Consider the following 24,917-nt stretch of genomic DNA (forward strand, 5'->3'; position numbering starts at 1 on the left):
GCACTTCCTTTCTGGCACCAGAAGATGCTCTAGGCTCATCTTAGATATTTTCTGCCTCAGTCCTAGAATCCACCATTTCTCCAAGGAGGCTTGGTGTCTTTTATTTGAGAATGACATTGGAAACCAAGATCTGAGTGTGTTGATTGTTTGCTTTCATTTTGAAAGATCATTTTGAGGATATAATATTCTTGAGTGGCAGGTTTTTTTTCTTTTCAGCCCATTGCCTTCTGGCCTTCATTGTTTCTGATAAGAAATCAGCTGTTAATCTTGTTGGGCTTCCCTTGTATGTAATGAATTGTTTTCTCTTGCTGTTTTCAATATTTTCTCTTTGCTTTGCCATTTAACATTTTGAATATGATGAGTCTGGGTGTGGATTTATTTGCATTTCTTCTGTTTGGAGTTTGTTGAGCCCTTTGTATGTGTAGCTTACTGTTTTTCAACAAATTAGTGAAATTTTCAGCCATTATATCTGAATAATTTTTTCTACTCCTTTCTCTTTCTTTTCTCTCTCTGTTACTCCCATTACCTGTATGTTGGTACACTTAGTGGTATTCCACATTTCTCCGAGACTGTTAATTTTTCTTGGTTCTCTTTTCTCTCTGCCCCTCAATCTACATAATCTCTATCAATCTACAAGTTTACTGATGCTTTATTCTACTGGCTTAAATCTGCTGTCAATCTCCTGTGGTGACTTTTTCATTTTAGTCATCATATTGAAAAGATTCCAGATTTTCTATGTTTTAAAAAATGAATTTCTACCTCTTTGTTGATTTTCTTTACTTGATGAGACATTATTATTATTACTTTAATTCTTTAAACATGGTTTCCTTTGGTTCTTTGAATAGCTCCTTTGAAGACTTCGTCTGCTAAGTCCACCATCTGCTGTCCCTCAAAGGCAGTTTATTTTGCCTTCCCTGGGTGGATCATGGTTTCTTATTTCTTTGCCTATCTCATAATTTTTGTTGGAAGCTGTATATTTTAGGTGATATAGGAATTCTTGATATTGGTCCCTCCCATCCCTTTCTTGGGCTTGTCATTGTTTTTGCTTGTTACTTGTTTAGTGACTTGGCTGGACTAGATCAGTAAACTAGATCTGTTCCCCTGCTGTTAGTACTCTCTAATGTTTCTCCTCACATGGTACAGCCTTAGTCATGGATACAATTGCCCTGACGACCAGGGATAATTGTTGCTTCTGCTGAGTTCTCTTTGACTCTGCATCTTCCTACTAAGCTTACAGCTGGTCTACTCTATTGGCATCACACTCAGCCATCAGCCTTCATTAATTGTTAGCTAATTGCTCTATTGCTTTCAACAATACCCTGAGACATTAATTGTTTTACATTCTGATCCAATTAAAGTCAGAACCCTTTGCAGGGGCAAGGTGTTGCCAGTCTTTGAGGCTTGCTCCAACTCTCAGAGGGCTCTTCTTAGTGGTCTCTTTTGCTGTTCTGTTAAACATATAGCTGGTTTATTATTTTACTTGCTGCTACTAACATTATGGAACTACCAGCCTCCTCTAAATTGCTTACCTTAAAAAACTCCATTGTTTCCCACACAGTTCTTAGGCATGAGCTCCCCATCTCTGTTCCAAATAGAGTCCCCTTGGGCAGCATTCCAGAGCCCTCTGATTTACAGCCTGATTTTGTTTGGCTCTGTGTCCCCACGCAAGTCTCATCTCAAATTGTAATTCCCATTTGTCAAAGGAGGGACCTGGTGGAAGGTGATTGGATCATGGGTGCAGTTTACCCAATGCTGTTCTCATGATAGTGAGGGAGTTCTCATGAGATCTGATGGTTTTTAAAGTGGCAGTTTCCCCTGCATGTGCTCTCACTCCTGCTACCTTGCGAAAATGTGCCTTGCTTCTCCTTCACTTTCCACCATGATTGTAAGTTTCCTGAGGCCTCCCTAGCCATGCAGAACTGTGAGTCAATCAAATCTTCTTTTCTTTATAAAATTGTCCAGTCTTGGGTAATTCTTTATAGCAGTGTGAAAACAGACAAAACACAGCCTCTCTCCCTGGGCAAAACTTCTGCACTGCTGCCCTGGAACTGGGGTGGGACAGTGGACAATTTTTCCCGTAGTGACATTGCTGCTCTACAAGTGGGTTGCTGGGTGGGGATCTTAGTCGCTGGTCTTCTCAGCATGTCCCTCACAGCTGTAGTACTTACGTTTTAATGCCTTCATTCTTGCTACTTCATTATACTTATCTTAGGTATTCTCAAATCACCATCTGGACGGGAGTATGCATTGATGGTTCTGCCCACATCTTTGGGTCTCTCCACAGTTGTTTGTTTAGGCTAAACAGACAGGAGGTATTCACTGAACACTTGACAATTTTTTATTGCATTCTGAAAACAAGTTAATAAAAATTAAATTATTGGTTTGTTTTATAGTGTATTGAAACAATGGAAGGTGCAAACCAATTACCTGGGGATCATGTTAAAATGCAGATTCTGAGTGGGTAGGTCTCGGGTAGCCTGGGAGTCTGCAGCTCCCAAGTGTTTCTAGTGCCACAGATTGTGCTTTGTGAAGCAAGGAATTAAAAGACAATACCATATTGGGAAGATTCAACATAATAAAAATGTTAATTCTCTTTAAGTTGATCTGTGAAATATGATATTCCAATTAAAATACCAAGGAAGGTTTTTTTGTTTGTTTGTTGTTAAGGATCTAAATCAACTGACTCAAAAATTCCTTTGGGGGGTAAAAAAAGAGTATCCCCAAATTCTGAATGAGTAAATGAGAGGAGTAGCCCTATCAGATAATGAAATATGTTATAAAGCTACAATATTTAACACACGCTCAGGAATAGGCTGGAAGATCAAAGAAAAATTTATAAGGTCCTATAATGAGCCCTGATACAGATCACATAAGTATACAAATATTTGATAAAGCTTTGATATTGATACCTTTATGATAAAAGTGGCATGGCATTAATCAAGGGACAGCCAGATTATTGAATAAATGACATGGGGTAACTGGGGTAACTGGGCAAACATTAAGGAAAAAATTAAGTTGGAACTATGCCTTACGCTGAAATTAATTCAGGTATATCAGAGATTTAAATGTAAGTAATAAAACCATTAAAATCCTAAAATAAATACTGGGAAAATTTTTAATATAATCTTGGAATGAAGAGGTCTTTCAAAATGTAAAACCTAGAAACCATGACATCAATAAAGTGAGTTATATAAAAATGAAAGTTTTTTGCATAGCAAAAATGATCATAAGCAAAGTCAAAAGGTAAATAACTGGAAAAATGTATCTAAAACCACAAGGAGCTAATAACTCCAAATAAATAACTTCTATAGATCAACAAGAAAAAACTAATAACTAATAGAAAAAATGGACAAAAGTTGTCAAGAGTTTACTGAAAAGCTAAAAAACTGAAATGTGAAAAATATTCTACCTCACTCGTAATACAAGGAATACAAAAGAAAGCTATGATGGGATATTATTTTCCTTCTCTTAGATTGACAAAGATCAAAGAGTCGATAAAACTGTAGTGAGAGAATGAGGGAAAACCGGCAGTCTCAAACATTACTGGAGAAGTGTAATTGTCTTGATTATTATAAAGGGAAATTTAGCACTGTTTACCAAACATTAACATGCACATATGCTTAAGGCTGGGTTTTGCACCCTAAACACATTACTGACATTTGGGGCTGGATAATTCTTTCTTGTAGGGGGATGTCTTGTGTATTGTAGGGTTTTCAGTTGCATCGCTGCCCTCTACCTACTAGATGCCAGCAGCACCCCTCTAATTCCCACAAAAATGTCTTTAGGCATTGCCAAATGTCCCCTTGGGGGCAAAATTGCCTCTGGTTGAGAACCACTGCCTGGAACAAGCAATTTCACTTTTAGCAGTTTATCCTACTGATTCACTTGCATAATGATAATATGATGTATACCCAGATAGTTAGTAATTGCAGCACTGTTTATTGTAATAGCAAGAGATTAAACAGTTAAGTGACTGTGGGAGAATTGTTAAATTATGGTACATCCATGTGGAAAATTATGCAGCTTAAAAAGAATGAGTAAATTCTTCATGTGTTGATACACAAAGATCTTCAAGATTTATTGAGTGAAAACATCTGGATGAATAAAAGTGAATAGAGTATGCTACTATTTAGGTCAAAAAAAGGAAACATGTTTGTATAAGCCTAGATTTCTGGAAGGATGCACAAAACCTAAAAACAGTGTATGCTTCTGGGCAGGAGATCTTCCTGATGGGGTGACAGGAGTGGGATGGGAGCTTGCCACAGTGTACCATTTGAACTGAATGTATTGCCTAAACAAAAGAATTAGTAAAGTAAAAGTTAAAAGGATAATGTTAAAATTTTTTTTTAAATTTTTTTTTTTAGACAGTTTCGCTCTATCACTCAGGCTGGAGTGCAGCGTCGTGATCTCGGCTTACTGCAACCTCCACCTCCAGGGTTCAAGCAATTCTCCTGCCTCAGCCTCCCAAGTAGCTGGGTTTACAGGCCTAAGTCACCATGCCCGACTCAGTTTTGTATTTTTAATAGAGATGGGGTTTCACCATGTTGGCCAGGCTGGTCTCAAACTCCTGACCTCAAGTGATCCGCCCGCCTTAGCCTCCCAAAGTGCTGGGATTACAGGCGTGAGCCACTCTCCCCAGCTGATGTTAATTTTTAAAAAATGCATTCTATTAAAAGGGCTAATTTTTACTGCATGATAATTTTTTAAATAAATATTTAAAAGACAAGGATTACTCACGAAATTGAATTACCATAGCTTCTAGGCATTCTGCGTCTGGGAATATACCCAAAAGAATTGAGAGGAGAATTGAACAGATTTTTGTACACCCATGTTGACAGCACCATTCTTCACAATAGCCAAGAAGTGGAAGCAACCCAAGTGTCTATCGAAGGATGAATGGATAAACAAAATAAATAAAATGTGGTATATTCATACAACGGAAAATCATTCCACCTTAGAAAGGAAGGACATTCTGACACATACTACCATGTGTAGGAAACTCAAGGACATTATGCTAAGTGAAATAAGCCAGTCACAAAAGGACAAGTACTGTTTGATTCCGCTTATATGAGGTACCCAGAGTAGTCAAATTCATAGAGACAGAAAGTGGAATGGTGGGTGCCAGGGGCTGGGAGAGGAGGGAAGGAGGAGTGATTGTATAATGGGTACAGAATTTCTGTTTTACAAGACAAAAAGAGTTCTGGAGATGGATGGTGGTGATAGTTGCACAAGAATGTGAATGTACTTAATGCCACAGAACTGTATAGTTAAAAATGGTTAAGATGATAAATTTTATGTTATATATATATCTTATAATTAAAAAAGACATGGAAGTGAATTGAGTCTGATCAAAGTATACTTAAATACACAATTTTTCACACACAGAAAAACCCTAAGAAGTCAAAATAAGTACAACATATTCCTTAATAAAGGAGAGGAAGAGGAAGGAGGGAAGAAAAGGAATGAAAGAAACAAGACTATTTAGACTGCACTAGGTGTTTCTGAACTGGCTTAAAATATGTTTGGGAAAAAAATCAGAATCTTGTGATTCCCACCCCTCCCCAACCTCTTTGAAAATGTAAACATTATTTTTGGAACTCTATTGGAACTATGGGGAGAGATGGCAGGGCCAGTGAGTTCTCAAAGCAAGAGCTGCTGGGGTTCCCTGGGTGTAACTGGTCCTTCCCAACCCAGGACCGGGCCAAAGCCGAGGCAGTGAATAAGAGGCTCCGGAAGCAGCTGGCCGAGTTCCGGGCACCACAGGTGATGACTTACGTCCGGGAGAAGATCTTAAATGCGGACCTGGAGAAGAGCATCAGGATGTGGGAAAGGAAAGTGGAGATAGCAGAGGTGAGCCACGGGGAGCCCCAAGATGGGCAGTCTTTTATGTCTTCAACGTTTTCACTTAGGATTTTGTTCTTTGGGGTAAGAATACAGATGTTTGGATATGTAATTTCTGGGAGAAACCTCAGCAGTTGCTTTAACTATTAAACCAAGACGAAGGATGATTTGTTTTTTTTGAAAGTTCCCCCTTTTGCATTGTTAGGGGCAGAGTCTTTTCCATTTTCAGGGAGAAACTCTGTAGTAATAGTGTGTTTTTAGTTGCTTGTTATCTTAATGAATTCTAGAAGTTTCTGAATCCCTCTGCACTGGTAATTTAGTGATTGCTACTTTATACATGGAGAAGTCCATTTTTTTTTTAAATGAGATAGTGATGGATTTTTTAATATCACTCAGGACCTCATTCCATGCATGTACACAGTCGCCATGGGTCTTTCTGCTTTTGAACGAATCCCGCAGACTTTGAATATGGTACCATGTGACAGGAAGCACCCTTGCTCCTGTGAGCTGCGGGAGATAAATGGGCAATGGGAAACCATATGCTGGTGTCAGAAGAAAGACAAGCACCTAGGCTGCCGTGGCCAGGTTGCAAACTGAGGTCATGCAGGACATCATCAGAGTAGCTTAGAAAGCCAGTCAGGTCACTTGGAAAACTGGTACCTTGGCGTTTTCACATCTAGACCCTGGCTCCCATTTCCTGTGTTACTTTGTCCTGCCTCTCCTGCGGCCATTTTGCAGCAGAGAGTAAATTAGGATCCAAATTTGGGCCCCTCAGATCCGAAGCTGAGAAGTAGCAGAATCGTGGCAGGAACATGCAACTTCTCACTTTACTGAACAGAAGAAACATGCTCTATAGAAAAATCTTCCGGTGGGTGCTGCCCCTTTGTGGCCCCTACACAGCAGCATGCATGGAGGACACGCTGCCCCACACAGGGTTGCCTGCACCATCACGGGGCTGGATGAGGGCTGCATTCTCAGTAGCCACAATCAGTTTTCCCCAAGTGACTTTCTCCCCCATCTCCTTTATCATTTTTTTTCTTTTTTTCTTTTTTTTTTTTGCAGATGTCCTTAAAAGGCCATCGTAAGGCTTGGAATCGAATGAAAATAACCAATGAGCAGTTGCAGGCAGATTACCTTGCTGGGAAGTAGCCAGAGGCAGGCCACGGCTTACAGACCACTACATGACCTATAAAAGTAATCAGCTCCTTTCTAGTCACGGGCTCCTCTCACTGTTCCCTGTCTGCCTGGTGTTCCCAACCCCCCACCCAGGCTGCGTATCATCTCCTGGGCCACATCTGCCCATGGGGAGTGTTTTCACAGCCTGGCCCCTGGAACTGTTACCACTGAAAGAACCACAGGGCACTCTAATGGTTTGACACTTGTTAGCCAGCATTTAGTTCACAAGCATAGTGAAAGTGACCTTCCCACACCTGGGAGAGGGATAGAGGAGGGAGAGCCAGCCCAGTGTATGCCATGGGCTTATCCGTGGCAGCCCCAGTGTGCAACTATCAAAAACAGACATCAAAACAGCATGGTGAATGCCTGGCACTCAGCATTCTCAGTTTACTCTTCAGTTTGGTGGGGTAGCTCCTGGACTAGATACTGCTGCAAAAGAAAACAAGCACGAAGGAAACCAAGATGATTTCTTCGGGCTGATACAACCTGTTCTGACCTGCAAAAATCCTACCTTCCCCCACCTCCCCACCGTAATAGTCATAGTATAAGGGTTGTACAGACGCCTCAGGAGACCTGCCTGATTCCTTTACATCCTTCTCCCTAACATCTAGACTATCTCTAGAGCTGTTTCCTAGTCGTGAATGCGTGATGGTCCTTCTTTGTCCCTGCAAGTATGATCCAACATGGCCCAGTTCAGAATCAGAATATGTCTTCTGTGTCATGGTGGCATTTGGTCCATGGTGGGAGAAAGAAATCAACTTTTCCCAGTGGTGGAGTGAGGACAGGGGAGGGCCGGCCCTCTCAGCCTTGGATGTGATCCATTTGCTGTAGTCTTCCACCTTGGTGTACAGAAACAGGCCAGGGCACGTCTCACCACCGAAGTTCAGGACTCCTCTCAGAACCCACAGATCGAACTGCTGTAGCTGGCACATCATTGGGCTTCCTGGGTCCCCCTGTGATAAAAGACAGAAGGCTTCAAGTCTTAGAAAAACTAGTTTTTGTTGTAAATCTATCCTTGTGCAATATACTGTTTGTTCTAGAAATGTTTTACGCTGGTTCTCACTGGAAATGGGGCAAATTATAGGATACAATTTCAAATCTAGGCAGCCACCACCACAAATTCCAACAAGATGACTTTTCCTTTTATTATGCAAATTAGCTGTGGACTTCTGCTGATTGCCTATAGCTTCCTGGTTCATATTTCATTTTCTTGCCCCTTTCCAGTCCTTTGGCCAAACCTTCCCTCTCTTCTGGCTTCTCATTCCTGAAATGTTGGTGTTTGTTTCTGTTTTGTCCTGAAATGCTCACATTTTCCCTTCTCTGCCTTGCTTCAACCCTTAGTGTAAGCCACTTCCTGCCACCTGGCAACTGCTTACCAGCCTGGCTGGCCGTGCTCTGGGTCTTCCCTACTCCCAATGGAGCAGTCCTCTGGGACTTGGGAATTCTGCCACATACACTTTATCTAACTTAAAGTGACGGAGTAGAAGCTTGGCATCATTAGCTAGATATGGGACCCTGGCAAGTGACCAAATCCTCTCTGAGCCAAGGTGGGAACACAGTTAATGCCTGTAACACGTGCTGAGCACAGCACAGTGCCTGGCACACAGCAAACACTCAATAGAATATTAGCTACCATCATCCTGATGTCGCTATAAAGGCCAGCATTTTTCTGAAAAGTTGGGGAAAATGGGAAAAGCAACAAGGCAACTAGTAGGTATCACTTACCTTACCTGCCCAGACCCCACACCCCTAGGTCTCCTCTCAAAGGAATTCCTGCCCCTCCCATGGCCCATCTTGGTCCGAGAAGGGGGTGGTCATCCCCAGGCTAGCCAGCCACTTCTGACCTGTGTGGCCTGCCTGGCTGGAAGGCCCAGGCAATGACATGTTGCTCTCGCAGTTTGGACTGAGACATGGAATGGGGCCGCAATTAACAACAGGAAACAATCTGAACAGACTGAACCACGAGCAGCAGAAAGGCAGAAGAGCAGCCGCTTCAGCCCCTTACCATCCGAGACCTGGGTGTGTGGTCTGTCTTGGTCACTCTCTCTGTCTCTCTTTCTCTCTTTCTTTCTCTGTCCCCAAGGCTGGAGTGCAGTGGTGCAATCTTGGCTCACTGCAACCTCCACCTCTGGGATTCAAGCAATTCTCCCACCTCAGCCTCTCGAGTAGCTGGGGCTACAGCTATGCGCCACCATGCCCAGCTAATTTTTTTTTTTTTTTTTGAGATGGAGTCTTGCTCTGTCCCCCATGCTGGAGTGCAGTGGCATGATCTCGGCTCGCTGCAACCTCCTCCTCCTGGGTTCAAGCGATTCTCCTACCTCAGCCTCCCCAGTAGCTGGGATTACAGGCGCCCACCACCACACCTGGCTAATTTTTATTTTTAGTAGAGATGGGGTTTCACCATGTTGGCCAGGCTGGTCTCGAACTCCTGACCTCATGATCCACCCGCCTCGGCCTCCCCAAGTGTTGGGATTACAGGCGTGAGCCACTGCACCCGGCCTAATTTCTGTATTTTTAGTAGAGATGGGGTTTCACGATGTTGGCCAGGCTGGTCTTAATCTAACTTCAAGTGATCTGCCCGCCTCGCCCTCTCAAAGTGCTGGGATTAGGCATGAACTACCATGCCCAGTGGGGTATTCTCTTTCAATAAAGCTCCTCTTTTCCAAGGAAGCCACACCAGAACAGAGATGAAGACCAGTGGGAAAACATGGGAGCAACTCCGTGGGCAGGCCAGCGGGGAGGCCATGCTGCAAAGCTGCCGTGATTCCCTGGTGATCTCTCAGCAGGCCAAGGCCAGACATGTGAGGAAGGCCTTGAGGACTTCATTCTGTGCCTCTCCTTGGATGGAAGGGGGTGCTTTAGTGTGGCACTCCTGACTTTTCAATTGACTGGTGAAGAGGCCCTTGTGTGCACCTCACTATGTCTGCCTAGGTCATGGGGGCTCCCTGGCCAAGAATGACGTGGTTCCCCCTTTCATCAGTCCGATTCGCAGTTTGTCTTAACTGTAGTGGTATAGCCAGAGCAAGAAAAAGAATGTGATTTAGGACAAATGATTGGATGAGTGATTGGTAGATGTCCTCAGCTATGGCGTGGTTTTGCAGGTCACTGTTCCACCCACCTGGGCACAGCATATACGCTTTTTCTCTTCCCCATAATCCTGTAGGGGCTGCGACTTCTGAAGCACAAGAGGCAGAGGCGAACAGCTCCAGGTGCCCCTCTGGAGCTACCCTACCTCATCTCCCAAGGGAGCGGCCACAGCCCAGAGTGGGGTCTTTCATTTTGTGATCTTTTCCCTTGACATTCAGCAAAAGCCCTGACAGTGGTAGAATAAAGGCAGGATGGGTGAGTGCAGAGTGATTCTGCTTTTGTTGGGTTTCAGGGAAACCCATAGGCAGATTCTGAACCTGGTGGTTGATTCTACATGTGGGAATTGTGGCTTTGAAGACCTCTGGACATGAGAACATATTTCCAAGACAGAGGATTCTATGGGGACGGGTCACCATTAAATGGTGTGCAAGCATAATTCTGTTCAAAAATGAAGGCATGTTTAGAGGTGTGTCACAGTTAAAAACCAACCTGAACTTTGCAGTTAGATTTTAAAAGATGGTCAGTTAGAGTAGAAATAGCTTAGAATATTCCATTGAGTCTAAGATACAGTTAGAAATCAACATCTTTGAAATTAGGGTGTGTCTTTTAATCAGTTGATGTCAGAGTTTAACGGGCAGCATTTTTTTCTTTCTTGGGATTACAAAAAATGATGGTGCATTCTATAATTGGCAGCATCTTAGATCTGAGGAAGTATGATACTTGTTTGACGGAATGGTTGACGGCAGAATTTTGTTAAAAAGCTATATCTTCACTGTATTTTAACACATTATCTAATTTAAGAAATTGTTAAGATCCCCCACCTGGCAGAGGACCCAGTACAAAATAGGCACTCAATAGATGTTACACCAACTTTGGAAGGGCAAACATATTTCTTAATGAGAGGCAGTCCTTCATGTTTTGCAATAAAATGACTTTTAAAAAAAATTGTCTGTATATATGTATTTTTTCCCCTTGCTCTAAAAATCCTGCCTTTCTGGATCCTATGGGGAAAAAAAATTCCCCATCAGGTGTCCTGAAGGTTATTTAGAGGAGAGTGTGTGTTAAGCCTCATAGAAAAGCAATTCTAGAGCAGAGGAGATAAACACTGTCTGGATATCTGGTAGACCTAGGTCCTTGTCTTTGCTGTAACTTTTATTGACTGTGTGACCCTAGTAAGCCACACTTTCTCCAGATTTGGATATGAAGGGGCCTGAACCAGGTGTGTGTGACTTCTACACATTTTTTTTTGAGGCAGTAGGACAGCCACATCCGTACAGCCCTCATCTGGGTGGAGGGCAGGGCTTCTCAGAGAAGAAAAACTCAGTAACTGATAGCATCAGAGGGGAGTCTAGGTTCCCTAGAAGCTGAATACAGCAGCCCCACACTGTAGACCTGCTCAAAGCATATCGGCCTCTGTGGTTTGGACTCAGACTTTCAAATTTTTAGCTAGTTAAAAAGCACCTGTGACTTAGACAAGCTTCATCATGTTACACTGAAAATCGTGACTGGTTAGTTCATTCAGCAGATTTTTATTGAGCGCATACTGTCTGCCAAGTGCTATTCACTCCAGAGACAGCCACTCATCCCAAGCCCTGCCCTCACAGAGCTCCCCATCTAGGGAAGGGGAGTCCTGAGGCTCCCCTGGATGTGACCAAGGCTTACTCTCAACACTTAGCTTCTACTCCATGATGTTCTTACCAAGCAGGCAGTCTTGGTTTCCTCTTTCGTGTGGCTGCCGCATTCTGTCTTCTGGAGTTTGTATAGGGGACACATGTCAAGATCTTTCACGAAGATTTTCCTCAGGACACTCATCGTCATGTGATTTCCTGTCTGGACCATGCAACAGAGAGCCCAGGGATTATTAACGAGAAGGCAGTCCCCTATGTCAACACAACTCCCACTCATATAGCCAAACGAGAGTGAGAATTTTTTTTTTTTTTTGAGTTGGAGTCTTGTTCTGTCACGCAGGCTGGAGTACAGTGGTGTGATCTTGGCTCACTGCAACTTCTGCCTTTCGGGTTCAAGCAATTCTCCTGCCTCAGCTTCCGGAGTAGCTGGGATTATAGGCATGCACCACAACGCCCAGCTAATTTTGGTATTTTTAATAGAGATGGAGTTTCACCATGTTGGTCAGGCTGGTCTCGAACTCCTGACCTCAAGTGATCCACCTGCCTTGGCTTCCCTAAGTGCTGGGATTACAGGCATGAGCCGCTGTGCCCTGCCAGGAATGTTCTTATAAATCCCTTTTTTTCATAGAAATAAGAACCTGTGACTGAGTTTTTACTGAAAACTACCTCCACTTTGAACTTGAATGTGCAAACAGGCAGAGAACACCCTTCCTCCTCTTCTAGAGAGTATCCATTTCCTTGTTTCTTTCTTTCCCCAAAGTGAAAGAAAACAACGATGGCTTAGACAAGAGGACAATCAGCCGTAGTTCGGGGACTAACATCCCCTCACCTCTCTGTACACTTGTATTCATTCCAGGGTGTCCACTGCCTCTGTACTTCCAGTTTTGGTGTAGGGCTAGAGGGTAAAGGACCAATGTGATGTAAGAATGGCCACTGGATGGGTGCAGTGGCTCACGCCTGTAATCCCAACACTTTGGAAGGCTGAGGTGGGAGGCTTGCTTGAGCCCAGGAGTTCGATACAAGCCTGGGCAACATAGCAAGACCCCATTTCCACAAAAATAAATTTAAAACAATTAACCAGGCATGGTGACATGTGCCTGTAGTCCCAGGTACTCGGGGCTGAGGCAGGAAGATCACTTGAGCCCAGGAGTTCAAGGCTGCAGTGAGCCGTGATGGCACCACTGCATGGAAAAGACCCTGTCTCAAAAAAAAAAAAAAAAAAAAAAAGAAGAAGAAGAAGAAGAGTGGCTACAGAAAGCCCTGGGAGTCTTGACTGATTAGGTAAGGGTTTCAGCCAAACTCTAGAACCTCAAGCAAACTCCATTATTAAATTAAGATAGGCCCTAGATTGGATTATCCAGGTCACCCCCACTGCCAGCACACACGCAGCCTTCTCTGGGAGGAGGAATGCCTTAACTGCAGATGTGGGATTCCATCCTGACACCCAGCAGTTCTGCAAGACTGGTGGTGTATGCAGCATTCTGCCGAGGAAGCAGATGGACTGGACCAGGTTGCCAAAATGCATCGCTGTGTCTGTCTTCAGGAGGGCTATGTTGTTGCTCATGGAGTTGTTATCAAAGTCCTCATGGATGATGATGGTATTGACTGGATACTCTGTGTGAGCAATCTTGCTAGGATCCATGTTACTTATACCCACTATAACGACAATGTCCTTCCTGGAGAGAGAGCAAGGGAATCTTGAGAAGCCAAGACAGCAAGGAAGCTTCACGCTTCCCTGTTTTCCCATTTAAGTTTTTTCAGCCTGGAACACTCATCCAGCTCATATTTCCTGTGTTAATTCTTCCTCACCCCTTTGGACTCAAGTTTCTAGGAAATCTTTTATGAACCCCTAGGCTTGTGCCCTCTTTTGTGAGCCTGCAGAATCCTGGAGATTCTTTAATCTTAACACCATTTGCCCCACCACTAAAGAAAATCTGTTAACATGTTATTGCTGATTAATGTTTTTTCTATGAATAGTTTTTTTTTTTTTTACATATTGTAGTTTGCAAAAGTAGTAATTGCAGTTCTACCAAACATGTCATCTTGACTCCTGCTTTTAGTATTTACATTTTAAAACAGGCATCTTTCTTTATTATATATTCTGTAAATACATTTTGGAGAAATTGAAGTTCTAATGACAATAGAATTGAGTTGGATGTTTTCCCTTTCTCCTCTTGGGAATCACCCAAGAAACTATGAGAATGAGGAACAAATACAAACACCGTAAAACCAAGAGACGCTAAAGAATCCAAATCTCAGAGTCAAAGGAAGGGCTGATGAAAGGAAGGATGGCAGGAGTGCAAGAGTTATAGATGACACTGACTGCCACAGAGCTCAGAAAAAGCTCGTTGAGCATGTTCTCAGCAAAGAAGCGAAAAGGAAAGAAACAAGACCATGACCAAAATGAAGGCCAAATCAAAAGCAGCATAAAGGAGAATAGGGCCCACAGAAAACACAATTAGGGGCATTGAGAAATATGACCAAAATGAAATGAAAATTAGCAAAGATTTTTAAAGGCTTGAGAGGAAAATGAAAGATAAGGCCGTCACAGGAGAACCAGCTGACCACAAAGAAAGTAACCAAAATGATGAAACAGGAAAAATATTTCAAGATATAATTTAAGAAAACTTTTCAGAACTAAGACTTGAATCTATAGTTTGGAGACAGCTAACCTATCTCCAGTAGTGTTGCGTGTCCACTATCTCTATAGTTTGGAGTAGTTAACACTGAGACATAGTTCTGGTCAGGTCCCAACAGGAAATAAATGTTCTACTCAAATAAGATAAATTGGGGTGCGTTTAATAAAGGGACTCTTTACAAAGGTCTTGGCAGGATGCAGGGAAACCACAAGGACAGCGCTGGGCACTGCATGCTATAGGCAGCTCCTGCTGAGGTAACAACGCTGTGCTGACACCATCTCTGGGCTCTAGGTGAGGGGAGGATGTGATCAGACAGAGCTGTGTAGAGTGGGTCACTTAGCTGGTAAAAGCAGCCAACCAGCAGCCAATACGCAGTAGCCCTCAAAGGAATAAGGACACTGACTTCACTTTCCCCACTCCCTCTGATCTCTTGCCTCTTTTATGCATGTTGGCCAAAACCAACTGGAATCCAGAAGGCAAGAAAGACCACTGGTATAACCCATACAGGTGGTCCTCCTGGGGCCTGGCAGGGTAGAAGAGTAGAGTGGATCTGAAGGGGCAGGTGGGGGAAATCCAGCACAACTAGTAAAGTTGCTGGACTTGAGTGACAAAGAAGGAATCCTTGGACATCCAGACTAACAAAGATGAGGTCATCTTAATTAAGTTTGGCTGTATTGTCTAACCAAAGTACTGGCATTACAGGTGTGAGTTATTGCACCTGGCTGGTAGGTGATTTTAATTCACCTCTGACAGTCTAGGACAGATCAAGTAGACTTCCTTGCCCAATTTTATATATTGAATTATACACCAAGCATGGAGAATGAACTTTTTAATTTACCTGTGAAAATATTCACATAGACCACCCATAGTAGACAGACAGGACAACCTCAACAAATCCTAAATAGATCACCACGTGGTATAATTCAATAATGTTAGAAAACAAAACAAAAAACCCTAGCACCTGGACATTTTAAAACTCTGTCTTGGCCATGCATGATGGCTCATGTCTATAATCCCAGCACTTTGGGATGCCAAGGTGGGTGGATCACCTGAGACCAGGAGTTTGAGACCAGCCTGGCCATCATGGCAAAACCTCGTCTCTACTAAAAATACAAAAATTAGCTGGGCATGGTGGCATGCGCCTGTAGTCCCAGCTACTCGGGAGGCTGAGGCAAGAGGATTGCTTGAATCCAGGAGACGGAGATTGCAGTGAGCTGAGATCGCACTGCTATACTGCAGCCTAGGCAACAGAGCAAGATTGTCTCAAAAAAAAATTAAATTATATAAAATTAAAAAATAAAGCTCTGACTTTAATAAAACCCTTGAGTCAAAGAGAAAATCAAAACCAAAAGAATAGGCCAGATAGAAAATAGCCATAATGAAAACACTACATAGAAAACAGAACTTCCATGGAGGGCTAGTTGGCAGTAGCTCTCAGGATTTTAAATGCATGTCTTTCTTAGCCCAGTCTTTCTACTCCTGGGATATCTACACTATGGTACACTTGCATGTGTGTGAAATAATGCGTGTACAAGTATTTCTGTTGCAGCATTTTTGGCAGTAGTAAAAGATTGGAAACAGCCTAAATTTCCATTAACAGAGGACTGTGTAGTTATGGTACTTCCATAACAGGTTATGGTGCAGCTGAAAAAAGAATGCATTAGCCCTTTATGTACCAATAAGAAAAGGTCTCCAAAATTTATGATAAAGTGAAAAAAGGCTGTGAGTGAATTAATGTGTATGATGTGCTACCAGTTGCATTGTGGGTGTGTCGGGAGTGCGTTATGAACTCAATTGCGTTCTCTTGAAAATTTGTAGGTTGAAGTTCTAACCCCCAATTTGACCATATATTTGGAGATAGGGCCTTTAAGGAGATAATTAAGATTAAATGAGGTATAAGGAGATAATTAAGATTAAATGAGGTATAAGGCTGGGGCTGTAATCTAAGAGGACTGGTGTCCCTATAAGAAGAGAAAGAGACACCAAGAGTGCACAGGCACAGAGGGAAGGGCCATGTGAGGACACAGTGAGAGGGTGGCCATCTGCAAGCCCAGGAGAGAGGCTTCAGGAGAAACCAAATCTACTGACACCTGGATCTTAGACTTTCAGCCTCCAAAACTGTGAGAAATAAATTTCTGTTGTTTAAGCCACCCAGTCTGTGATATTTGTTATAACAGCCTAAGTAGACTAATACAAGGGGAAAGAAAATTCTCTTAATAGATATAAGAATCAATATAGCCAGACCTATAGGTATATAGATATCCATGAGTGCTTTGAGTATTTAAGAAGGAATAGGCAAGAAATTGGTGACAGAATGTGGCTCAAGGGAGAAAAACTAGTGACTGAGGGGCAGGGGAGGGAAGGAGCTGCTTTTAACTGTACGTCCTTTGGTTTCTCGTGAACATTTTACTACATACTTTTTTTTTTTTTGGACATGGAATCTCGCTCTGTCACCCAGGCTGGAGTGCAGTGGCACAATCTTAGTTCACTGCAACCTCCACCTCCCAGGTTCAAGTGATTCTCCTATCTCGGCCTTCCGAGTAGCTGTGATTACAGGTGTATGCCACTATGCCCCGGTAATTTTTGTATTTTTTAGTAGAGACAGGTTTTTGCCATGTTGATCAGGCTGGTCTCACGAGAACTCCTGACCTCAAGTGATCCGCCCGTCTCAGCCTCCCAAAGTGCTGGGATTACAGGTGTGAGCCACTGCACCCGGCTACACATGTATTTTTAATTAAAAATACAAATCCTATGTTAAACTATTCACCAGCTGCATAATATTCCATCAAGGATTTATATTATAATTTATTTAGCCAATTATAGTCATTATTCTCTCTCCCCCAATACTCTGTGTGTGTATATACGTAATTATAGATTATATACTATATGTTACATATGATATTGTATACATAGATATTCCATATACATATATACATATATTACAATATCATGTATATTACATATAATAAAGTATATAATTACATGTATAGTATACACTATATATTATGTATATATATATTTATATGTATAGCATGTATATATATGAAAAATTATAATTTCATCCCGATAGTGGGACATTAGGTTTCTTTTCAGTGTTTTGTGTGTAATTAACCATCCTAGGAACAGCTTTGTACATACAAATTTTCCAGTGGTTGAAATTATTTCCTTAATGTTGATTCCCAAAAATGAAGTCACTGGGTCAAAGAGTGAGAAATATTTACCAAAAACATTATTCTTTTAATAATATTTATGATTTTCCCTGGTTTAAAAGAATGCATATTTGTATTACAGAATTTGCAGAATACAGAGAAGCTAAAAGAAGAAAGTAGAAATCGTGCGTTCTGAGCATTCAGAGATAAGCACTCTTAAAAGCGCTTCTGTATTTTTTCCGAGGCTTTTCTCTCTGTACATGTATTTGTGGCAGTAACGTTTGTAAGGCCCAAATGTTTTAAGGTAAGGGCTCCTATTGACTGGTTGAACAGTTGATAAGTGGTAGGGACCCTAGTGTTAGGAGCCAGTGCCTCCGTGATGGCGGTAAAATCAGAAAGAATATCCCACCTGCATTGAATGGAGGACTCATCATTGCATTTTTCCGTTGCAAGGCCTGCAGTCCTCACAGCAGAGATCAGGCTTGGCAACTGGTGAATTTAGGGCTCACGACAGAGCAAGCGCTGAGCTGGTAAAAAGCCCTGTCCCCCCAGAATGCACCTTTCAGGGCCTCCCCAGGCTGAGCAGGAAACAGGGTCGCCCCCACCCTCACCCCCGGCGATGTTGCGGGCCCCAAAGGCAGGGGCACTGGCCTGTTCTGAATGGCGGATGCGATGCTGAGGACCCAGAACTCGCTCAGGATGCAGCCGAAAGCCAGGTGTGTGTACTGGGAGTCCTGCAGCGACACCACCCACGGGAACTCCATGCTGCTGACCAAGCCCTCCTTGGGGTCAGGACCGTAGAAAACGGAAGCTTTCTGGACGCCACAACCTGCGGAGCAGGTGCGGGGCCTCACTGCCGGGGCAAGGAGACCTCAGGACCCTCTCTCCTGTGGGCTGTCTGTCTCGATCATCACTAACGCTATCCGCAACCCCTTTTCTTTCTTTTGCCTAGTGTGTCTTCTTCACCCTAAAAGATGCTCAGTGGCATTTTTGAATCCCAAAATTATGTTAGACTACAAATAAAAACTCTCATCTATTGAACACATAACGGTACACATTGGCAGTGTCTGCCACCTTTCATATTCATCAGCAGTTCTCAAAGCCTGGTCTGGGACCCCTGGGAGTCCTCAACACACTTTTGGGATCTGCAAGGTTAAAGCTATTTTCATTTTCTTTTCTTTTTTTCTTTTTTGAGACAGGATCTCACTGTGTCACCCAGGCTAGAGTGCAGTGGTGGGATCATAGCTCTCTGTGGCCTCAACCTCCCGGGTTCAAGCAATTCTCCTGCCTCAGCCTCTGGAGTAGTTGTGACTACAGGCGCCTGCCACTACCCCCCGGCTAAATTCTTTTATTTTTAGTAGAGATGAGGTCTTGCTATGTTCCCAGGCTGATCTAGAGCCCCCTAGCTCAAGAGATCCTCCCTCCTCAGCCTCCCAAAGTGTTGGGATTACAGGCATGAGCCACTGCGCCCAACTTTAAAACTATTTTCATAAGAATGTGAAGACATTATTTGCATTTTTGCTCTCTTCATTAATGTATAGTAGAATTTTCCAGAGGCTCTAGGATGTCATCACTGTGATGGCTAGTAGTATGTGTGACCTTGTGTATTCCTTTTTTATTTTTTATTTTTATATTTTTTTAAGATGGAGTCCTACTCTGTCGCCCGGCTGGAGTGCAATGGTGCAATCTCGGCTCACTGCAACCTCTGCCTCCTGGGTTCAAGCGACTCCCCTGCCTCAGCCTCCTGAGTAGCTGGGATTATAGACGCATGGCACAATGCCCAGCTAATTTTTCTATTTTTAGCAGAGATGAGGTTTTGCCATGTTGGCCAGGCTGGTCTTGAACTCCTCACCTCAAGTGATCTGCTTGCCTCGGCCTCCCAAAGTGCTGGGATTACAGGAGTGAGCCACCACACCCTACCGGTGACTCCTTTTTCAGCCATGCATCCAACCACACTTGGCCCTGGCAGGTGCTGAGGTAGGGCCTGGGATTCCAAGGATGGATTTCAGGAGCCCATCAGAGTGACATGCTGAAGAGTGATGGCCATATAGAGGGATATGTGACACAGGAAGTGTGCCCAAAGTATAAGAGGAGGGGTCACGAATTCTGCCCAGGACATAAAGTCTCGGAGGGCTTCCCCCTGAGGGCAACCTTGCATATGAGCCCCAAAAACAGTTTCCAAACCATGACCCTAAGAACTGATTGTAACATATAGAATTATCATTAAAGGAGCACAGAGGACCTCTCCATGATGGAGCACATATGACCAGACATCTCCATTAATTGACACTTGATGACTTTGCTGGAACAATGACAGACTGATTTTAGCAAGATGATGTCTGGAAGGTCACTAAGTGCATCAGAACCACTAGAGACAAGATCCTTATCTTTGGTCTGAGTTCTTTTTGGGACATTGGCAATCTACGGTGCAAGGCATTTGCCAACCTTCCCTAACCCCACAAGAGTTTAGGAGTGTGTGATGACTTTTGCTTTTTCAAAGCTCTAGTTGGCTAGTTTATCTGACCTCACAAAACCCTTGGAAAGCCAAGATGTAATGAGGAAATCTGACCCAGAGATGAAATGCTTGTCTTGGCCCCTTAGCTGTGGCTTTTTAAGGAGGGAGAGGACCTTTCTGTGTTTTCTGGGTATCCCCTGGTCTCTTTGGGGCTGCAAGAAGACAGAGAGCTGCAGGAGGCTGAGGGAGCTGGAGGACTCCCCTCTATGTGTGTGCGTGTATGTGTGTGCAAGTGTGTGAGTGTGTGTGCATGTGTGTGTTTGAGAGTGTGTGTGTGCGTGTGTGTATGTGAGGGTGTGTGTGGACTTTCTCATGTCTCCCTTCTAACCCCAGGGAGGCAGGGCAGGGCGGGCTGGGACGGCAGCAAGGTGGGACAGAGCCTGCTTTAGCTAGCTGTCTCCCCTCCACCTGCCCTCTGTAGGCTGGAATTCTTAGTCCTGGGCAGCCTAGAGGTCAAGGGAGGAGGGGACCGCAGCTGCCACTTCTGCCATCTGAGGCTGTGGCTGCCTCCAAGACACCTGCAGCAGTAGAAGCCCCCTGCTCCCGGGACCAGCCCTGCAGTTGGGGGTTGTAGTTTGCAAAAGAGCAGTATTCTCCTGGAAGGACAGGGCAGGGGCTGGGAGTGAAGAGGCAGGCCTCTTGCTCACCCCTGTACCCAGAGGGCCTTATTTTCCTAACCACACTCCCACCCTAAGGATTGGCCCTGACTTTAGTTTCCTCCATCCACGTCCCATGATTCACTTCTTTGCCTGGTTCCTGCCACCAATGCAGGCCGCCCGGTGCAAAGTGCCGTGAGTCATCTTCCCTGAGCCCCTCCTTGGACATTAAGGACCACTTCATCTTCCCGGATGATCCCCTTCTGTGCCACGTGTGCAGCTAAAGTCAGAGGGAGGAAAGCAGCACACTCACTGGTGGAAGAATAGAGAAGGCCGAGCAGCACCAGGAGCACCCCTCGCATCTTGCCATCCCCAGAGAGACCCGCCGCGGACACCATGGGCAGCTGGGGAAACAAAACCCAATGACTCCATCCTCTTCCCAAACACATGCAGGGTTTTCTATGCCTCTTTTTTCCATCCTCTTCCCAAACACACATGTTCCCTCCCAAACATCAGAGGCTCCCCCTCTTTCTACTAACAAAGGTTCCAAGATGTAGGGCACTGACCTGTCTTATCCCTAGTGCTTGGTTCTGTGTGGTAAAGAGGCAGGACCAGTTGGCCCGCACTGTGGTTTGTGAGATGGCCAGAGAAGAGAGGGCAGCTTACTCTTGTCAGTTTTCTTCTCAATCCAGCCCAAGCCCCTGAGCACCCCAGAGAGTTGGGTCTCTGAAAAGGGCTGCTTTTTGACTCGTGGAATTCAACCCTTGCCTTAACTCTGTAGCCATAAAATGCTGCTGAAAGAAAAGTAGAGTTTTAGTGGAAGCCCACCCTGGGATTAATGCCTCTGCTGTGGTTTTACCCTTCTAAACTCTGCTGGCTAAAAGAACGCTAGGGCTTCTGTTAACTGTTAACAGCCTGTTTTTTTGTTTTTTATTTTATTTTATTTTTTTTGAGACTGAGTCTCGCTCCCTTGGCAGGCTGGAGTGCAGTGGCACGAGCTTGGCTCACTGCAACCTCTGCCTCCCAGGTTCAAGCGATTTTCCTGCCTCAGCTTCCTGAGTAGCTGGGACTACAGATGTGCGCCACCACGCCCAGCTAATTTTTGTATTATTTTGTAATATTTTGTAATATTTGTATTTTTAGTACAGATGGGGTTTCGTCACGTTGGCCAGGCTGGTCTCGAACTCCTGACCTCAGGTGATCCACCCGCCTCAGTCTCCCAAAGTGCTGGGATTACCAGCGTGAGCCACCGTGCCCGGCCAATAGCCTGTATCTTTACATAGGAACAGCCCCAGCATTTAGCTTAGTTCATTTGCAAAACCGCGGTAGGAAGTAGACACTCGAGTTATCGCCATTTTACAGATTCAGAAACTGATACTCAGAGACATCAACTAGCCAGTCCAAGGTCACACAGCTGTCAAGCAATGCACAGAAGCCCAAGGAACCCATGTGCACAGTTCTAAGTCACCATGTTCCACTCATGACACTGGATGCCTCTTGTCCTCAGAATGGTCCTCAGAGTTCGTCCATGAACTGTTCCTGCTCAAGGAGAAATGAACTCAGGCTGGCCTGACACAGTAGAGTTCAACAGAAGGATTTCTTCTACTGCCTTGGGAAGAATGTTCCATTGTGGCATCACGGTTACCATGGCACCACCAAGCAACTGTCTGGACATGGGGACTTACGAGGAGCTAGGATGAAAGGCCTCCTTGTTGCTTAGCCTTGGCAGGGCTCTTCTGGAAGCCAGGCTCTCTCCTAGTCTGAGAAGGCAAGCTTTTTGCTGGATTACAAAGTCTTCTCTGGTCGTGGCCACGGTCTGTCTACCCCACTCAGCGCCCGCCCTGTGTCCACACATGCTTGTCAGACTGGACTGAGGAAGCCCACAACTGGGGTGGGTTTGGAATTTCCAGTCCCCGTCAGCATCTTACACTCCCAGGGTGGTTTCTTTCAGACTTAGCCCAGTTTTCTTTAGCCTCTCAGTTTCCGGGTCCAATCTAAGCTACCAGACCAGCTCTGCCAAACCAGAGGCCCAGATGGGATCTGCCACTCCAGCCACTGTGAGCAGCTTTGGTTTCAGCCCAAATGCCAGGACTCGAGAAGTGTCGACAAGGTTGAGGTAAGATGTTAATTCCACGGAGCCACAGGGGGAGGGTGGGCGCACAGGCCTCTGGTGCAGACGCTCAGAAGATCCTTACTGGATGGGTAGATGAATGGCTGATGGAAGGCAGGAAGGCTGGTGAGAAAGTGGAAACTGGCTGGGCACGGTGGCTCACGCCTATAATCCCAGCACTTTGCGAAGCCGAGGCAGGCAAATTGCTTGAGCTCAGGAGTTTGAGGCCAGACTGGGTAACATGGTGAGACCCTGTCTTTTACCAAAAATACAAAAATTTAGCCAGGCGTGGTGGCACACACCTATAGTCCCAGGTACTCGGGAAGCTGAGGTGGAGGTTGCAGTGAGCTGAGATCGCACCACTGCACTACAGCTTGGGCGACAGAGTGACAGCCTGTCTCAAAATAATAATAATAATAATAAAGTGAGGCCTGAGTCCAAAGGGAGCCGCTACCTCCTTCCCCCATGGTTCCCCTGATGTCCTGCCGGCTTCACCACCCTCCCTCACCTTTAACCCTGGGCAGGGGGGCGGGGGTATTGGCTTCTGCTACAAGAACAGAAAATTTTTGGCAGTGGGAGAAGTGCGAGTTGATTCTTTAATTTGTTCCACATCACAGGTATCAAAAAGCTGTATTTTAAATTTTTATTTTTTATTGTTTTTAGAGACAAGTTCTTGCTCTGTTGTCCAGGCTAGAGTACAGTGGTGCAATCACAGCTCACTGCAGCCTCGAACTCCTGGGCTCAAGTGATCCTCCAGCCTCAGCCTCCCAAGTAGCTGGAACTACAGGCCTGTGCCACCAAGTCTGGCTAATTTTTCATATTATATTTTTTTGAAGAGATGGGGTCTCACTGTGTTGCCCACGCTGGTCTCGAACTCTTGGGCTCAAGTGATCCTCCCACCTAAACCTCCCAAAGCATTAGCCATTATATAGATATGAGCCACTGCACCCGGCCCTCAAAGAGCTTTCATTACCATATGTTTCCTCCCTCACAATCCCCAGTCACCCTGGCAGGACAAAGGCATTTCCTGAGCTTTCCAGGTGAGAACGTGGTGGCCCAGAATGTGTTTCTCATTCAGTTGTTCTTTGCTTAATACCCGTATCCAGCCGGGCACGGTGGCTCTCACCTGTAATCCCAGCACTTTGGGAGGCCGAGACAGGCGGATCACGAGGTCAGGAGATCGAGACCATCCTGGCTAACACGGTGAAACCCTGTCTCCACTTAAGACCAGAAGTCTTAATTTTCATGAACTCACATGTATTCATCTTATTCAGTTAGGACTCTTTGTGTCTTGTTTAAGAAATTCTTCCGTAGCTCAGCATCAGAGATCTAGTCTACTCTATCTTCTTCTCAAACCCTTGAAGTCTTGTTTTTCACATGTAAGTCCTCAACTGTATGGATTCATTTTTTGTGCATGGTGTGGATACTTAGTTATGCCAGCATCATTTGTCACAAGTCTCCAATGTGACTCCAGCACATATCAAAGTATAAATTTCTTTGTTGAACTTCTCTTTGTACTTAGTTTTCTAGTTTATTATTTTCTGCCCTTATCTTTTATTGTCTGTTTTCTTCTACCTTCTTTGAGTTTGTGTTATTTTCCTAATTTTTTTTTTTTTTAGACAGAGTGTCGCTCTGTTGCCCAGGCTAGAGTGCAGTGGCATGATCTCGGCTGACTGCAACCTCCACCTCCCAGATTTAAGCAATTCTCCCGCCTCAGCCTCCTGGCTAATTTTTGTATTTTTAGTAGAGACAGGGTTTCACCATGTTGATCAGACTGGTTTCGAACTCTTGACCTCGTGATCCACCCACCTCGACCTCCCAAAGTGCTGGGATTATAGGCAGGAGCCACCATGCCCGGCCTATTTTCTAAAATTTTTAGCTGGCATTTAGTGTGTTAACTTTAGCCCTCCTTTCTAATATAAGTCTTTAAGGCACTGTATTTCCCCTAAGTACCATTTCTCTGTAGCTCTTAACTTTTGATACCTTGTGATTTCCTTATCATTCAGTTCTATTTTTACATTTCCATTGTGATTATTGTTTGACTCTTGAGCTACTTACAAATGTGTTCTTAAATTTCCCAAACATATGACTAGTTTTATTTACCTTTTTGATACAGACTTCTAACCCAGTTGGTTGGAGAATGTGATCTGTGTAATACAAATCTTCAAAATCTCTG

General features: G+C 44.2%; 2 protein-coding genes across 6 annotated transcripts in view, besides 1 other annotated feature; one reads left to right on the forward strand and one right to left on the reverse strand.

Annotated features, from left to right (window-relative positions):
• Nucleotides 1-11,049, forward strand: part of CFAP263 (cilia and flagella associated protein 263) — a 33,901-nt gene extending 22,852 nt beyond the window's left edge. For both annotated transcript variants that reach the window (NM_014157.4, NM_001142302.2), the window contains 2 exons: nucleotides 5,695-5,850; nucleotides 6,904-11,049. In NM_014157.4, coding sequence (NP_054876.2) covers nucleotides 5,695-5,850; nucleotides 6,904-6,990 — 243 coding nt within the window. In that variant the 3' untranslated portion in view covers nucleotides 6,991-11,049. The remainder of the gene's footprint in view (nucleotides 1-5,694; nucleotides 5,851-6,903) is intronic.
• Nucleotides 7,210-22,238, reverse strand: PRSS54 (serine protease 54). Of its 4 annotated transcripts, none has more exons than NM_001305173.2 (7): nucleotides 22,100-22,238; nucleotides 21,198-21,422; nucleotides 20,945-21,035; nucleotides 18,172-18,349; nucleotides 13,150-13,408; nucleotides 11,803-11,934; nucleotides 7,210-7,970 (listed from the first exon to the last, which is right to left on the reverse strand). In NM_001305173.2, exons 3-7 carry the CDS (start codon nucleotides 21,027-21,029, stop codon nucleotides 7,437-7,439), a joined length of 1,188 nt encoding a protein of 395 aa, NP_001292102.1. In that variant the 5' UTR covers nucleotides 21,030-21,035; nucleotides 21,198-21,422; nucleotides 22,100-22,238; the 3' UTR covers nucleotides 7,210-7,436. The 4 variants fall into 4 exon arrangements, with proteins under 4 accessions (NP_001292102.1, NP_001073961.1, NP_001292103.1 ...); NM_001080492.2 differs by having other exon boundaries at nucleotides 21,198-21,425; NM_001305174.2 differs by lacking the exon at nucleotides 18,172-18,349 and having other exon boundaries at nucleotides 21,198-21,425.
• Nucleotides 8,218-8,512: a silencer, noted in NCBI's record as "tiled region #1225; HepG2 Repressive non-DNase unmatched - State 21:Repr". NCBI's record gives its function as "represses a minimal TATA promoter and a strong SV40 promoter by Sharpr-MPRA in HepG2 cells {active_cell/tissue: HepG2}" and the evidence as "EXISTENCE:reporter gene assay evidence [ECO:0000049][PMID:27701403]".
• Nucleotides 22,239-24,917: the final 2,679 nt, after the last annotated feature.

This window comes from Homo sapiens, chromosome 16, assembly GCF_000001405.40.
Source record: "Homo sapiens chromosome 16, GRCh38.p14 Primary Assembly".
Taxonomy (NCBI): domain Eukaryota; kingdom Metazoa; phylum Chordata; class Mammalia; order Primates; family Hominidae; genus Homo; species Homo sapiens.

Coding starts and splice junctions, on each gene's coding strand:
- PRSS54 (NM_001305173.2), bottom strand. CDS start 21,029: ATGGTGTCCGCGGCGGGTCTCTCTGGGGATGGCAAGATGCGAGGGGTG. Junction 13,409..18,171: donor GCATCCGCCATTCAGAACAG/GCCAGTGCCCCT, acceptor CTCTCTCTCCAG/GAAGGACATTGTCGTTATAG. Junction 11,935..13,149: donor GATGGAATCCCACATCTGCA/GTTAAGGCATTC, acceptor TGCATGGTCCAG/ACAGGAAATCACATGACGAT.